Source organism: Homo sapiens, chromosome 2, assembly GCF_000001405.40.
Source record: "Homo sapiens chromosome 2, GRCh38.p14 Primary Assembly".
Classification (NCBI taxonomy): domain Eukaryota; kingdom Metazoa; phylum Chordata; class Mammalia; order Primates; family Hominidae; genus Homo; species Homo sapiens.
In genome coordinates this window covers 186,718,762-186,736,560 of record NC_000002.12, presented here as the reverse complement: position 1 = coordinate 186,736,560, position 17,799 = coordinate 186,718,762, and the positions used below count along the sequence as shown (strand labels likewise).

The following is a 17,799-nucleotide window of genomic DNA, read 5'->3' as shown; positions in this document are numbered from 1 at the left end:
CACACACACACACACACACACAGCCACAAACATATTTCAGTATACCTCCTCTTATAAAAATTTTAACCATAATAAGAACTAAAATGTGCTGAGGGTAATAAGCCATGCGTTGTGTTAGTTTTTAAGTGCGTTATTCTACTTACTCTTCAAAAAAAACCTCATGGAAGAGATAATGTTGTTTTCTTTATTTTATACATATTGGTAACTGAGAGTTGCAGAGGTTTGAAAGTGAACCATGGCTAACCCTCAGTAAATGGAGGAAACAGGACATAAACTCAGGACATCTCTCATCAATGTTTATGCTTGTAAACCATTGCCCTACATCTGCCTGGTTACTCTCTTAAAAGCAATTATCATCTCAGTTTAGAGTGTGAAGATGGGAAGAATTGATTGAGAAAAGCAAAGAGAAGATTATATCAAATCATACCTTAAAATGAGGTTCCATTAGTCTGTCTGAAACACTGAATTTCCTGAACAACAATCTCATATATATTCAAATGTAAATATGAGGAAGAGATTCCAAGGTGATACAGAGATAAGTAAAGTTTATCCACACATCTGCTTTGCATCTTTAATGATAATAGAAAACCTTGTGAGAGGTCAAATTACTTTGAGTAGTCATTAGTATCACTACTTTTAAGAGATAAATTGAAGAACATTCAGTAATAAAAGGCCAAATAAGCTTTGAGTCTTAAGCTGTTCCTCAAACTATTTTTCCATCGTATCATAAATTCAGCCCATTAATAGTATTTTGTTATAAAATAAATATGGTTGTAACAATTTAAAATCAAAAGATGAAGGTAAAGAATAAATAAATGTGCCTGAGATTGCCTTTATGAAAATTATAACACAATTATAACAGTTAGTGAGATCTGATCTGGCCAACCCCCTTCCTCTTGCCTGTTGCCTTCAAGCTGCCTTAATTATTCCTGGGCTAAGGCTGGGCTAGCATTGAGAGACATTTAGTTTATAGTTTAAATAATAATAGCCCTTCCTCAAAATGTAACTGCCTTTATAAAGCTAATGAGATCATCGGGTTAGGAGGATGTGAGGAGCCTGAATTCTAAGGTGTAGATTGCCAGCCATTCTTCTGGAGGTCACAAGATATGCAATTTCCCCAATTACTCCTGCAAATAACATCACTATTGTAGAACCTAAGGATTGGCCATTTGAGATGTCTTTTCAGGTTTTTTAATGTCTGAATTGATGGCTCCACCACTCCAGTGGCAGCACCCAGAAGCAACTCAGCTCAAGAGGACAGCTTTGACTCCCTATGATTTCATCTCCAACCCAACCAATCAGCAGAAAGCACCCATTGCCTAGCCACTGCCACCCTGTCCCCTGCTTCCCCCAAACTGATGGCAGTGACAGCCCGTGTGGAGCAGCCACTGTGAGGATGCCAGCTGCAGCAGGGGAGGCACAGCTGGGGCTGCACAATCCACAAGGCCAGAGGGAGCCCTGCCCCTACCGAGTTGGTGGGGCAGGAGCCCACACTCCTGGGCACAGCTGCAGCCTGTCAGCTGCAGCTGCAGACCCCAGCATCCCTCTGCTCTCAGGGGCCCAGGAAGCTCCCTTCCCTCACAGGCTTGAAAGTGCCTGCTTCCACTGTCTGGCCTTTCCCTGCTCCCGGTGCCAGCCCTGGGGCAAAGCAAAGTTGTGGTCAAGAACAGGCACTTTTGCAACCCAGCTGGATGTGCACACACTTGGGGGCAGCAATGATAGGCCAGCCCCCTGTCGCCTAGGCCCCTTCCGGACTTTGGGCACTCATGGCCACAGGTGGGAAACAGCAGAGGCTGAGGGTGGCTCCACACAGGATTGCGGGTACCCCTCAGCACCCCTCAGGTATGGCCTGAAGCACGGGGGCCAGGTTGCCAGTTCCACAGACCAGAATGAGAACTTCTGGTGCATCTTCCTGGCCCACTCATGGACCAATCAGCATGTACTTCCGCCCATCTGAAGCCCATAAAAACCCTGGACTCAGCCAGACTCAGGCAGAGGACAGGATGACCTGCCTGCGGATAGGAGCTACCCACTCTGGATCGCCTCTCACCTGAGGGCCACAGAGATGTTGTGATGACCTGCTTATGGATAGGAGCTACCCACTCCAGGTATCCTCTCTCCATTGAGGGCTGCACGCTCTTTGAGACGACCTACCAGCAGATAGAAGCTACCCACCCCAGTCCTCCTCTAGGCTGAGAGCTGTACTCATCGGGATGACCTGCCTGTGGATAAGAGCTACCTACCCGCTCTGGGTCTCCTCTCTGCTGAGGGCTACAGACATTGAGACAACCTGCCTCTGGATAGGAGCTACCCACTCTAGGTCTCCTCTCTGCTGAGGGCTGTACTCATTGGGATGACCTGCTTGTGGGAAGGAGCTACCCACTTCGGGGTATCATTTATACCTACACTGATAACACCCATCCTACAGTCTCCTGAGAGCTCTACTTTCACTCAATAATGCACTCTTCACCTTGCTCACCCTCCAGTTGTCTGTGTATTTCATTTTTCCTGGATGTGGGATAAAAGCTCAGTCCCCATTGAATGGTGGGACTGAAAGAGCTGTAACACATACAGGGCTGAAATATGCCCCTCTACTCACCACATTGCTGGTGACAAGAAGGAAAGAGAAGAGCTGCAGTCCTTCAGGGAGCCCAGACCTAGGAGCTCCCTGAGCCAAGACTGAGATACCCTCTTTGAGGTTCTGTGGTTCCTGGAATCTCCAAGCTCCCGGGTGCCACTGCGTTCCCCAGTGCCTGTAGCGGAAGCCACTTGAGGTACACCTGTTCCAGCCACAGCCTTGCAGGGAGTTAGCACCCATGCCAGTGCCTGGAGCTGCCTGCCCTGTCACAGTTGGTATGTCTGGCTGTGTGCAGTGGCTGTTCACTCATTCACACACCCCCCACTCACCCACACTCACTCACTCATGCACCCCTCAATGTTCTGTGCCTGGCTCACCCTTGGCAGGCATGGGATCCAGGCCAGTAGTGTGAGCTGAATGCAGCCTCCTGGGCCAAGTGGGAAGAACAAGCCCAGTGGGCCTGAGCAAAACTTGGGCAAAGGAGCCACCAGCCACAAAGGTTTCTGGCTGGCAAAGTGACACCCCAAGGCTCCTGTGACAAAATGATCTTTGAAAAACCTCCAAATTCTTGGGGGAGACTGATTTGAGTAATAAATAAACTGATCTTCTGTTCAGCTGGCTCTGTGTGAACTAAACTCTTTCTTCATTGCAATTCCCCTGCCTTGATAAATTGGCTCTAACTGGGAAGTAGGCAAGAAGAACCCATTGGTCAGTTATATCCCAAGTATTCTATGTATAGATCACAAAAATCTCAATATACCTTTGTAAAATTTGTAACATCAAATCCATTTTATTGATTTCAAAAAACGAAGATTCAGATAGGTCATGAAAATTGACCAAAGTCTCACAGATGGTAAGAGGCCATGTCAGCCTTCAAATACACGCACTGTTACAGTCGGTAATCAGATATGAGCAAGGCAGGAGAGGACCCACCCTCACCAGGAATGTCAGGCAAACATCAGGCAATGTTCAGGCAGTTGTTAAACTGTCTCTCTATAATAATAATTGGTCACAACCAGCACCAGGGAAGGGCTGTCTCTCAATAGATAGAAAATCTGAAACTGGTGATCAGCAGCTTCCTGATGAGATCTCAGGAGTTGGGTGAGTGGGCCCAAGCATGTGCACTAAAAGGTAAAATAGCAGAGTTTAACTGAAATATGACCTTCCTCTAGGAACACTTAACTGGTAAGGGAAAATGCCTCAAGTGAGCATGTGTACAACTTCAATAAACACACTGCACATGCAGCCGCTCCCAAGTGCTAGCAGGCCACTGCACATGCAGACAGCCCACTCCGCAGGAAGAATCACAGAAGTAAAGCAACCCTGGAAGCTGCCAACACATAAGACCCCAAGTCAAAAATCAAACCGTGCATTTGAATCTCAAGTTGCCTGCTTGACCCTCTTCCACATGCACTTTACTTTTGTTCCTGCTCTAAAACCTTTTAATAAACTTTCATGCCTGCTCTAAAACTTGCCTTGGTGTCTCTCTGCCTTACACCCGTCAGTTGAATTCTTTCTTCTAGGAAGGCAAGAACTGAGGTGGCTGCAGACCCATGTGGATTCACCACTGCCAACACCACGAAGGACTCCAAAGCCATCTTGGAACTATGGAACAGTGGGGCTTGGGGTGACACTACTAAATTAACTCAAGTAATATATGATTGCAATCATCATTGAGAACTTAAATTCTTATAAAACATCAATTAAAAAGAAAAAGCACCCCCTGGCCATATACACACATACTCATGCCAAACCATGTCCTCAAACTCAAATGGAAAATATAACACTTGGGTTTAAAAAACAACAAAAAAAAGTTATAATAGTAAGATATATCAGTGCCTCCCAACCTTTTTGGCACCAGACTCTGGTTTCAGAGAAGACAATTTTTTCATGGACCACATTAGGGGATAGTTTCAGGATGATTCAAATGCATTACATTTATTGTGTACTTTATTATTATTACATTGTAATATATAATGCAATAATTATACAACTCCCCTCAGCGGGAGCCCTGAGCTTGTTTTCTTGCATCTAGATGGTCCCATCTCAGGGTGATGGGAGAGAGTGACAGATCATCAGGAATTAGATTTTCATAAGGAGCATGCAACCTAGATCCCTCACATGCTCAGTTCAAAATAGGGTTCATGCTCCTATGAGAAACTAATGCTGCCACTGATCTGACAAGAGGTGGAGCCCAGGCCATAATGTGAGTGATGGGGAATGGCTGTAAACATAGATGAAGCTTCACTGACTCACCCGCCGCTCACATTCTGCTGTGAGGCCCAGTTCCCGATAGGTCTCAGTATCTGTATCTGTCTGTGTCCCAGGGGTTTCAGACCCGATATATATGACATGATGGGCTTTCTTGGATAAGTAGTTGGATAGTATAAAAAACTATAAGTGTAGAGAAAAAGTAGCTGCTGCTCAATTTGAAATAATTCTCTCAGCCACCCAGCCCCTAATCCTTCAGTCAAAATTTACCGAGCCACTAGCATAAAGCACCCAACTAATATAAGCCAGATAGATTCTATCAGGACCTCAAAATGTGAATACAGTTACAGAGATGCTAATGGTTGCTGGAACTGAATTACCTTGGAAAGTCTATGAGGCCTTACCATTGTGCTTTCTAGTGCTTCCCTAGTCCCTCTCCTTCCAGAAGCTGGGTTGTGCAGCCCTTCCAGCTGATCTGTGAACTACATAATAATCTTTCCTAGAAAGCCCTTTCATTTCTTGTAGCCAGAGTTTGTTTCTGTTGCTTGCTCCTTAAGTAAGCACATTAAATATGTACAACTGTAAATAAAGGATACTATTTACTAGGCCACTATTTTATAGACATTGATACCTGTTACAGAATGTGAAGGAATTAAGGATAATGTTGAGTACCAAAAACATGATAAACCGCATGAGAGACAAACTGAACATAACTAACTCATAAGGGAATTAGGATCTCTATTCCAATTCAATAACAGATCTTATTCAAACCAAATGTACCTACAATGGCTCCTTCAACAGCATATTCAATAGGGAATTTTTATTAATTCATTTGTTTCAAAGTTCAATTTCAGAGATTCTCAGAGCCTTTGGATTTACAGATAAATCTCAATGTGTGGTAAGATCTTAAGCTAAATTCGCAAAAGAAAAAAAAAACTGCATATTCCATCTGTTTCATCCTTGTAAAAGTACAGTTGCCAAAATAAGACACACTAAAAACCCTCCTGACATTCTGAAGCTGGATTTGATTTATAAAATGTTTTCTAAAACGTTTTCTAATCCAGAATGGATGATTTTATTTTTTTCACATGCAATAATGTTAATATAAATCTGATAAGAAAATATCATATTTAGAAAAAAATAGATTTGCAAAGGTCAAGTCTTGATGATCCAAATCATAATCTCCCTCTCTGATGAGATCACCTATATCTATATCTTAAAGTGCTTAGTAGACTTAGTGCATAATACAGGCCTGACTAACAGGGTCCTCTCTAGCTCAAAATGGAAACAACTGACTTGCAGTTGTTTCCTCCTTAATGCCACTCAGTTAGAGCTGACATAATAAATTACAGGTTTTATACATACATACATACATGTTTACTTGTGTGACACACACACATATACAGCCCAGTGCTGGAAACTTTACACATATTGTCCAATTTCATCCTAATACACACCTGTAAGACATTTCCCAATTTTAAGGCAAGGAAATTGAGATTAAAACTGCACAGCTGGCCAGGTGTGGTGGCTCACGCCTGTAATCCCAGCACTCTGGGAGGCCAAGGCAGGTGGATCACGAGGTCAAGAGATTGAGACCATCCTGGCCAACATGGTAAAACCCTGTCTCTATTAAAAATACAAAAATTAGCTAGGTGTGGTGGCACGTGCCTGTAGTCCCAGCTACTCAGGAGGCTGAGGCGGGGGAATTGCTTGAACCCAGAGGCGGAGGTTGCAGTGAGGTGAGATCGTGCCACTGTACTCCAGCCTGGCTAGAGTGAGAGAGAGAGACTCTGTCTCAAAAACAAACAAGACAAAACAAAAAACAAAAAACGAAAAACTGCACAGCTAATAAGGTTATAGCCAGGATTCACAGGCAAGTCCCTCTGACACCAAGTCCCATGTACCACATTAACTCTTATTGAAAAGCATTAGGGATTTGGTTTTCATCATATTTACTAACTTATTTTCTCACAACCAATGCTCAGAAGGAAATTCTCATTCACTGACTCTCTGAGCCTCTTCTCCCCATCCTCAAACTTGGTTTGTCTCTCACCCTAGCACAAGCCACAGCAAAAGCAGCATTTAAAAAACAAAACAAAACAAAACAAAAAAAACCTCAGCTGAAAGCCTGGTCAAAGTAATTAATGAGGTATGAACAACTCTTTTCTATTTCAAGTAAAAGGAAAAGTTATAAAGAATTAGCTGCTTATGACTTAAACGGGATGCTTCTGATTTCCATGGTGTCAACAGCTTGATCAAGCAAGCAGCACAGTCAGCCAGAAGCAATATATATCCCTAATAATCCTCTACCAGTTCTCTCCTCCAGAAAAAAAAAAATACTTTGGCATTTAGACAGGGCAGATTCCATGATTAAATATCTGATTTTCAGCCGGAGGTGCTTTTGTCTACCTACCCTTCTCCAGTGTATTTTTTTAGCTTTCAATGAGCATATTTATTTTCTCTGTCACTTAATTATAATCATTATGTCTTGCCCACATAATCATCTTTTCAACATATCACTATTCGTTTTAAAATGGTTCAGTATTAAATGATTCAACTGCACCCTTAGAAAACATATAATCTAAATGTTGAGAAAAACCAAGTAAAAATAAAATACGTATCAGTGAGCTAGGTCCTGAGGTTGCTGGAGAAGATTTAACTATTTAGCAGATGGTTACAAGCATCGTTAAGTAGTGAGAATCACTAAAATTCAAATAATAATAAATAGGTATAAAGGAATATTCTAGAAAAAAATATTAAAACCAATACTATATTATGGTTTTCCTATGGAATACAAATAGGTAACTAAAAGTCCAAAAGGGCTTTAAAAATACTGCTAACTATATATATTTGGGTGACATTTACGTCTTTATGTAGGTGGGCTGAAAATATCACAATCCCACTTCTTTTCAAGAGACTCTGACATCATCCTATTATGTTGTCACCATTATGTAGGTTACAACTATACACATGGAGAAGCCACCTCATTTTCAGATTTATCCAGTACAAAAACTCACCTACTTCGTTTCCATTATGTTTCAAAAGCAAGTATCTATAATAATTTCATTTCATATGCTACAACTTAATCTCCTATAGGAATACATTGCTAAAATAAAAAGATTTTATAAACAGACTATAGGTCAAATTTTTAAAACAATATTTTAATGGGATAAATTCAAAATTTTTATTGAGTTTTATGTATCCTGAGAACTAGGAAAAATGAAGAACACAAAAATATAGTGGAATAAAATAGTTGGTTGGAAACAATAGAAATGTTCATTTACATGAATCCATTCAACAAATGTTTACTGATTACCTACTTTTCCTCAGATCTGCACGAGATGGGGATTGGGGATACAGACAGCAATAGAAAACAGACTTTCCTTGATGTATAATTCTGAGAGGAAACAACACGTGAAGAAAAATACAGAATTTCTGATATTACAATAAAGGAGGTAGAAAAGCAATATTGAAACAGACAAGAGAACTTCCTATAGTATCTAACACAATTTTCTAGAAATTATGTAGAAATTAATTTAGAATATGTATAAAAATTCCTCTAAGTATCAAAAAATGACACTAATATCTACTTTGCTATCAGTTTACACTATCATTTTTTTAACAGAAAGAATGTCAACATTTTGAGTCCAGATCATCTGAGGGCCTGCCCATGAATTCTCACCTATTTTTCATGATCTGACTTTTCTGTGGAGATGTTGTGGTAGGAACCCAAAAGATACCAGGCTTCTGCTTATCTCCCAAATCAGGCTTCTTTGGGGTCTATTCAGAGGCCTAGTTTGCTCTCTACCCACCATTTTCACACAAAATATTCAGCTACCAAGAAATCTTAGTTTAGAGGTAGGTATACCTGTAAACTATATCTATATAAATATAATATAGATACATATAACTACATATATAAATATCTGAAGAAATCTGGTTCCAAATTTAATTCCAAATTTAAATGTCCATGTATTTAAACCATTAGTAGAAACATAACCATCATGGTTTCACTAAACATAATATCAATTGTTTTCTAACGTTTTAGGCTAGCATTCAAAATCCTCTGAGATCTGACCGTCACCTCCCTTTCCAGTCGTTTTTCCCCACTCATCATACTCATATCAGATATGGGCAAATTATAGTCTGCCTGCCAACTCTGACCCACTCTGATTTTGTAAATAAACTTTTACTGGAACGCAGTCATGCTAATTCATTTATACATTACCTATGGCTACACTTGCTACAATGGCAAAGTTTGCTACAATGCTATCTGGCACTCTACAGAAAAAGTTTGCAGAACCCTGTTCTACACTGTCTCATAAATGGGTCATTGGTCACTAACCAAGACAACCCATTTGCCTGCTACAACATAATTATTCATCTCTTTCTTCCATCTGAAATGCCCTTTTAAAAATCTCTACCTGTCAAAATCCTAACCTATCCTTCAAAGTATGGTCAAATGCCCCCTTTTCAAATAAATGTCCCCTTAGCCCAACCAAATGGGATCTCCTCTTCTGTACTGACCAGATTAATGATACATGATATATTCCGGTATGTTTTCCTTTTCTGTGCATCTTCTCTCTGCAAAAGTCAGGTTCTTGACAGCCCCTATTATTTCCAACTCAGCCATGAGTCATGCTAAAGCTTGAGCTAAATAAGAGTTAGCATGTGGATACTTACTAAATGAAGGGGGTGGGGGGAGAGAGGGAAGAGGAGGCGTTGCAGAGAGAGAAGGAATAAAGGGAGAGAGGTAGAAAAAGGAGAAAGAGATCAGAAGTGGCCAAGCACCTGATAAAAGGAATGATAATTGCAGGATTTCGGCAGGGGCCACCAGAAATTACAGCCAGCTCTCCAGCCCCAGTATTGGGTAAAAAATTTTAAGCTTAATCCCACAGTTGACATTGAAAAATATTTTACATTACTATAATAATTACAGCAAGAAGTAAATAATAAGATTCCTCTTCCTTTCACAAATTAATACTAATTTTTTTCATAAGAATATTTAACCTGGAAATTTTGACTAGAAAAAACAGTTTTGACTAAAGAATGATACTAGGGAGTAGAAAAACTTCCTAAATAAATATAAGGCAAATGTATCCTGGCAAAGAGTAAATTAAAAATTTTATTTTTACTACTATAAAAAAATCATCAAAGTAGTTTTACGAGTCTTTCTCCCAGGGTACTAGCACGATTTCCCTATTTAATTGGAATGAGGGCTGAAAGTTCAGAAAAGAGTAGAGGACAACGAAGGAGGTTATAAAGAAAAAGGACCATATTATTATGCATTCTGAAAAGTGGGGTGGAAAGGGTTTAATCAGTTTACTCTCTGCAGCATTTCAAATATGGACACACAAGCCTCCTTCTTTTAAAGAAACAAAAGGGTGCTGAATTAAAAAAAATCAGTAAAATAGAAAAGCCTCCTTTTCATTGCTTAAGCCCCAGATTGGATCCAAACTCTTATTGGCTTTGAGGTTTAAAAGAAAAAGAAAAAAATATGTGCGTGTTTGAATAAAAAACAAATTTACTTGCAGTAAACTAATATTTATTACAGAGAAAATGTCAATTCTAAGAAGAAATTAATGAGAGAGAATAAAGACATGATCTCCAAAGGTATAAAATGTTATGGAGCAAATAAAATATACTTTTTATCCATTAGGACTGAAGGCTTAAATAAGTGTGATTCACCAAAGCTAATGAAATGGATAACATAAAAAGAGCCTTTACAACTTAAGAACTAGCACACAATAGACAACTCAACAGAGAACAAATGAGAGAGCTGAGCCATTACTATTTGGACTCCGGTCCTTCTTGCCTACCTAAAGGACCATTTTCCTCAATGGAAATCAATCAACTGTCCCAAGCTCCTAAAACAGATTGTCCAAGCTCACTCCACAGGCATTTGTCATCCTGACTTGTTTTTTCTTCCCAATTTTTCATCCTTCCTTAGAATCACAAGCATTTATTCACTCACTCAGACACTTATTCAACATTTATTAAGGATACTTCATGTGATGGCACTAGGTAGAGAGAGACAGAAGAGCCTTCAGCCCAGTGAGGAAAGCTCAAGATAATTTTAAGTGTTTGAAAAAACACTGGTCACCACTGCCATGTAAGTACTGAGCACCTAACTCAGACTAATGTGAGAGCGCTCCTCTGTGAAGACAAAATCAGAATTGAGTTTTGAAAATGGGGTGTGAGGGGAAGGAGTGAATAGCACAGCTCCCTGAACCTGGGAATTCAATCACAGATACTTATCCTTGAGACTCAGCTCAGATATCCCCTCTGCGCTGAGGCATGGTATGACTGATTTCCCCGTCCTTTGAATCGAAACAGCACAAACTGAGTTATCACCTAAGATCAGGGTCATGTTTGGCGTAACAGATGAAAAGAAGACAGAGAAAGTAAAATTCTTTTTTTTTTTTTTTGAGACAGAGTCTCGCTCTGTCGCCCAGGTTGGAGTGCAGTGGCGTGGTCTCGGCTCACTGCAAGCTCCGCCTCCCGGGTTAACACCATTCTCCTGCTTCAGCCTCCCAAGTAGCTGGGACTACAGGTGCCTGCCACCACGCCCGGCTAATTTTTTGTATTTTTAGTAGAGACAGGGTTTCACCGTGTTAGCCAAGATGGTCTCAATCTCCTGACCTCGTGATCTGCCTGCCTCGGCCTCCCAAAGTGATGGGATTACAGGCGTGAGCCATCGCGCCTGGCCTACTCAGCAAAAATTCTTAAAAACTGAGGAAAGAACAAAGAGGTTAAGAAGAATATGTAAAGGCTCTGCCAAAAATAGAAATACATAAGCTGATGAAACATAAGAAGATATTCCTCCTTAGAGGAAAGACGAGAATTTAGCAATTCATTCAGCAAGCATGTGCTAACTGACATCATCCTCTGCACTCAATGTCCTTTTCTGAGCCCACTGCATCTCTGAGCTCATTTCCCCTCCTTCATCTTCATCCATTCTGATCCACAATGGCCTTCTTACACTTCCTTGAACACTCCAGGCACGCTCTCACCTCCAGGTCTTTGCATAGGTAATTCCTTCCTCCTAGAATTGTCTTCTCTCTGAAATCCAAATGGCATACTCCCTCACTTTCTAAAAGTCTTTGTCAAAATGACACTTCTCATGACTCCTGTCCTCCCAATCTGACTTTCCCGTGTTTCAGGGGTCCCAAGACCACCTTAAGCCTGGTGATTCACCAAAAGGAATCAAATGTCCTTTGATAGGTTATACTCACAATTATGCTTTATTATAGTAAAGGATGAAGAGTAAAACAACACGAAAAACATATTTCTTCTAGCTGTGAGCTGCAGGGACACAGGCAAAGTGTCTCTACATAGGGAAGGCCAATTGAGTCTTAGGGTCCAAAGCTGTCAAGGCATTGGTCATGTGGACACATTCCTGTAACATAACTAGCCAGGGCAGCAAAAACACAGGACCCCCAGCATAAATCGTGTGTATATCATGATCCTGCTAAATGATCCTAAGAAGTCTTGACAAGCTGGAACAGCATACCCCGTTGCTCCAGATATATAAAATATCATCATCAATCAGTAAAATAAAGAACACTCTGAGGGCCACATTCCCAGAAGCCGGCCAAGGACAATCATAGCTCCAGGCTTCATGACAAGCAAGGATAGAGCAACCAAACTTGCTGTGCTAACCCACTTCTCAACTTTGATCTATTTTTTCCATAATATTTTTCCATACTACCTTCTTAACACATATATAACTTACTCATTAGGTTCATTTTCTGTTTCCCCAACTAGAATGTTAACTCTATAAGGTCATGGACATTCTCATTTTATTTACTGTATCCTCAAATACCAATACTTATTTCTGAATGAACGAATATTTGAATTAATGAAAGAATTAATCCTTACTTTTATACCAATAGATGGGACTACTGGCTCAAAACCACTTAATAATTGCAAGGAGAGATGCAAATGTGTGAAATGAGGTAGACGGCCTTGAAGTAGAGGGTGGGACAAGAAGATGGGTAAGCAATCATTTCTGGCACAGAACATTTGTAAGTTTTATACTTTAAGCAAAGTACAAATTCTTTAATTCTTTAACATTTCTTCCTTCAGCAACTTCTTCAGTAAATATACTAATTCTTTTGAGGTTAAAAAAGGATTTAAAATGCAAGATTAGGACCAACATTGTTGCTTTGCCTTAGAAAAACAAACATATGAAGATTAAATTCATCATTTATCTGTTACCCAATTTTAAGTAATTAATTGGAAAAATACTAGAACCAAATTTGAAGTTGGCAATAAAAATGAGAATAAATAATACAGTTGAAAATAATAATAAAAAAAAGACATAAGGGGGAAAGTCTCATTTGAGAAAACAAATTTTTGAATATAGAATTACCAAATCTATTTCACACAGACTATTTCTAATAAATTACTATTTAAAAGAGTCATTTGTTGGGAATCTTTTAACAGTATTGTTCATCCTCCAGGTGTTTCAAATTATTGATAAAACTATATGAGAGAGACAAAAGGACCTTTGGGGAATCAACAATTACTGAATGTTCCCTCTCATGAATGTAACAGTGGAAATCTGGTTAGATCCATTTGCTAGGGTACAATACCCCCTTGGGGATGAATTAAGTGTGAATTACTTGAATTGGATACAGAGTACCCTAGCCTCCTTTGCAACTTAATGACTCAATGCCCCTAAGTATTCCCAATTTAGTATAATTGATGAATGAAGTCTGGAGACGACTATATCATCTCCAGGCCAAAAGGAGAATCAAGCTATTACTATTTATATAATTAATACCCTGAAAAGGATTTATCGTCCAAAACTGAAAATGCCCACAAAAAAATATTCCCCCAAAGTTCCTAAAAAGGATGCAATATCCTCAACACCAAATAATTGTAAAGTGTGATTACTATTTTGAGCTGCACAACTCCAAGCCAGGGGAAATGGGGTAAGACTGAACTCATGATTGGAGTCCATGTTAACACTTTTCAATAGAATGAGCTTTAAGATAGGGTTAACTGTCTGTACCAACTGGGATGGCCAGTGACCTCCACCTCCTGCCAAGAGAACTGTTTAGTACAGCCCAAAGGCCATCATCTCTATCTATGCCCTATGCCACCGGACAACCCAGTCCTCTCTATCCTGCAGCAGAGAAGTTTTCTTTACTGCATGATAAACATTCATTTACTACATGAATGCATGGTGTTTCATGCATTCAAAACTTGATCACTGTATCATGCATTCAAGTTTCAAAAACATTAAAATGTGAAACAGTTGATCACAGAATAAAAAAATGGTACTGTAAAGCACATATGAGCACAGTGCCTTGAATCTAGTTAAGTCCCTTTTTTTTAAGTACCTATTTTTAGTGGTTCCATATCTTTAATGCCGAAAAGAAACAGTGTGATCAATCTTTTCTTAGAATGTATACAGGCTTGTCAGTTGAACATCTAAAATGAACAACATAATGGACAAAAACTTAGTAAATAAACTCTGTGTCATACCTAGAACAGAAAATCATCAAAAGCCTGAGATTTGGGGCAGGTCCCAAACTATGCTCAAAGCTACCAAAGGTGATATAACAAACTCACAGGGGTGCCAGAAGACATTTTAAATTTTCCATGCAAGCACAATAATACTAACATCTGTTAGACATCATAAACTCCAGGGAGTTTACAATTTCAGCATTAGATCATACTATGTTCAATTAAATGACATTGTTCTTTGTAAAGCTGTGTTTTCAGTAACTGCTCTGATAGAAAGTAAATACTTCATGAAAATAAATTTGAGCAGAAAATGAAGGTGGAAATGTTCAATCTTATTCCAACGTTGGCAAAGTTGTGCACACATACCCCATTAAGCAATTAGCAAATATGGTTTTTTTTTTTTTCAAATGACTACTAAGTTAGACATCAAGTTGTCTTGTTACCAAAATACTACTGAGACACTGAGGGGACTGTGAACCAAGAAAGTTTTAGAGCCTTTGTTTTGTGCAGTCTTAATGCTACATACTTTATTAAGCACCTACTATATGCAAGATCTGTACTAGGCACTGAGAGAGACACAAATAAATTAGTAGCCTTTAATATGTTTACAAGTCAGAAGGAGAGAGTGATAGTACCAAGAAAATTACAGGTAAAGTGAGAGTTTAGAGAATTGTATAATTAAATTATTCTGGCTAACAATGTTAAGCAAGAAATCAGTCATTTATGAACTCTTAGTGTATATCTAAAAGGTGCTTGTTCACTTTATTGTCTTAGTAAGAACATTCTAGAAAACGTGTTTTCTTTGAAAAAAACATTTAGTATTCTAAATACACGTTTATTTTCTGAATGCATGACTGATTGCTTGAATAAATGAAATGTTGAATGAGAATCTTATATAACCTCAAGATTATCAATTTTCATAATGTGTTACTATTGTTAACCTTCTCTAGAATGCTTAACTCTCTTGGCTCAGAACAGCAATTCTCAACCCTGGCTACACATTAGACTTACCTAGGAGACTAACCTTTTGCCACATTCCCAGGCCCCACCCCAGCCCCAATTAAGTCAAAATCACTGCAGATGGATGGAGTCCAGAGAAGCATATTTTTGAAAGGTTCCAGATGATTCTAGTGCACAGCCAAGATTGAGAACCACTGACCTAAAATGATAAATAGGTAATATCCTGAAGGGATAGGGATATGACCTAAAGCCATCTTCTTCGGTTCATATTTAATTGTTCTGTTTCTCTTACTAAAACAGTAAGAATTGAAATTGCTTATCTTCAATATCATTGATATTTTATGGCTTACTCCCAAATCCTGATGCATACCCCTAGAGGCACAAGCACCCCAGAGAATCAGAGAGGTAAGATACTGACAAAAATGAAAGCTGACCTTTGATGGCTACCAGATCTGCTGATAGTTACTATTATTATTTTAAACAAATTACTGTTATCTTCAATTTTCTGCTCATTTATTTCTGTGTCCTTCCCGTATTAGAAATGTCTGGTTAACTCAGGGTTTGGGTACATTTAATACGTTTAATTAGAGAGTTTTTGTTTTGTTTTGTTTTCTTTTCTTTTTTTTTTTTTTTTGTACATGATCTACACAGAAAATTTGGAAAATACAAAAAACTATAGAGAAAAATAAAAATATTTCCTAATCCCATTTTTCAGAGTTAACTTGATTTCCATCCAGCACTTTTAAAAGCACACTGAAAAAAGCAGACCTACAAAATTCAGATCATATTGTGTCCCTGTGATTACTTGTGTCTACATTTGTATAAGCACGGTAATGTATTCAAGAAACTCACCAAATTGTTAATATTGACTGTATCAGTAGGAGCCATTCTGGAGAGGGGATACTATGTGACTCACCAAAATGTATGACATGACAACTACAGTGAGCATGTATTAAGTAGGAGGGGAAAAAGAAAATTAGCCAATAAATAATATTATGGCCAGGTGTGGTGGCTCACGTCTGTAATCCCAGCACTTTGGGAGGCCAAGGTGGGCAGATCACCTGAGGTCAGAAGTTCGAGATCAGCCTGGCCAACATGGTGAAACCCCATCTCTTCTAAAAATACAAAGATTAGCCAGGTATAGTGGTGGGTGCCTGTAATCCCAGCTACTCAGGAGGCTGAGGCAGGAGAATCACTCGAACCCAGGAGGTGGAGGTTACAGTGAGCTGAGATAGCGCCATTGCATTCCAGCCTGGGCGACAGAGCGAGACTCCGTCTCAACAGAAAAAAGAATATTATATGCTGTGTTTTTCAGTTAAGATTATACTGCAAACACACAACCATGGTACTAAATATTTCTAAAATTATCTTGTTTCTTATTTAAGAAAATTCTATGGGTTATTATTAACTATTTTCTTATTACTGTATGTTTAGACCTAATTTTTCACATTTGGAAACAATGCTTTAATCAAAATATATTTTCATATACCTTTGTCTAAATTTACAATTGTTTCCTGGGGAGGAGAAATAATAGGTCAAAGCTGTGAACTGTTCATAGCTTCTTGATGTGCATTGCTAAAATGCTTTCCAGAATGTGATGCCAATTTATAATGTAAACAGGAGAGTATTCCTATGTTATTTTACTGTAGTCAATATATCAATGTGACTGCTCCTGTCTCCGCAGGGAGTTAACAGGGAAATTAATGCTCAGTATGCTTTGAAATAATTATATTTTCCGTTAACTTAGCTTTCATTCCCAAGATTGTTGTTTTATTTGTTTTTTTCTCACAACAGTCTCTTGATAGATTAAGAGAGCTTCTTATAAAGAAAACTAAACACACAAACAATAGCCTGATAGAGAGCAACAACAGTCCATATACTATTTTGTTGTTTTGGGATTCCATTGGTAAACTCACATAATTTATTTACAGTGAAATAAAGTGGGGAAAACTTAATGAAATATCCATTTTTCCCTTTTACAGAAGCCTTTCTCTCCTTGTTCTATCAATGCGCAAAGTATGTTTAGATCAATGAAGAAAAAAATGGAACTCAGAAACTGCAAGATACAAGCTTCGGCATGTCTTTTAGAAAGGGTTTGAAACCTTCTGTCAGCATTTCATTTAAGTAGATGAGACACACCATGCTGGGAGAGTGGGGAAAGTGGTTAGATTTAAACAGAATTAGATGGAGCATTTTCTCCAATGTTTCTCTGACACCTTAGTAAATTGTACGGTTTTCCCTGTAATTTAACATCTGAAAGGAATACTGACCGGTAAATACAAATTCAGGTGCTATGAGAACATTGAGTGCCTTAAAGAATAGCACAGCACGAATAGCACAGCATGAATAGCAGAGCATGAATGAGACACAGTCTACAGCATTAGCAGACAGCAACTATATTGCCAGGAAGGCCTGGAAGTTTTAAGCAAAATAAGAAAAATATTAAATTGAAATATCTTAAAGGAAAAAGCAGATATGACACAACACATGTGCAATACACATTTCGTACAAAAGAAAAGTCCGTAGGTAGCATCTCAATATTTTTTAAAAATTAAGATATCAATTAAATTTGC

General features: G+C 38.9%; 1 protein-coding gene across 1 annotated transcript in view, besides 1 other annotated feature; it reads right to left on the bottom strand.

Annotated features, from left to right (window-relative positions):
• Positions 1-17,799, bottom strand: part of FAM171B (family with sequence similarity 171 member B) — a 71,900-nt gene that overhangs the window by 29,399 nt on the left and 24,702 nt on the right. The window lies entirely within an intron of this gene.
• Positions 1,528-2,284: an enhancer, noted in NCBI's record as "H3K27ac-H3K4me1 hESC enhancer chr2:187599004-187599760 (GRCh37/hg19 assembly coordinates)". NCBI's record gives its function as "activates a minimal SCP1, AML or CMV promoter by ChIP-STARR-seq in naive and primed H9 embryonic stem cells {active_cell/tissue: H9 hESC(naive and primed)}" and the evidence as "EXISTENCE:reporter gene assay evidence [ECO:0000049][PMID:30033119]".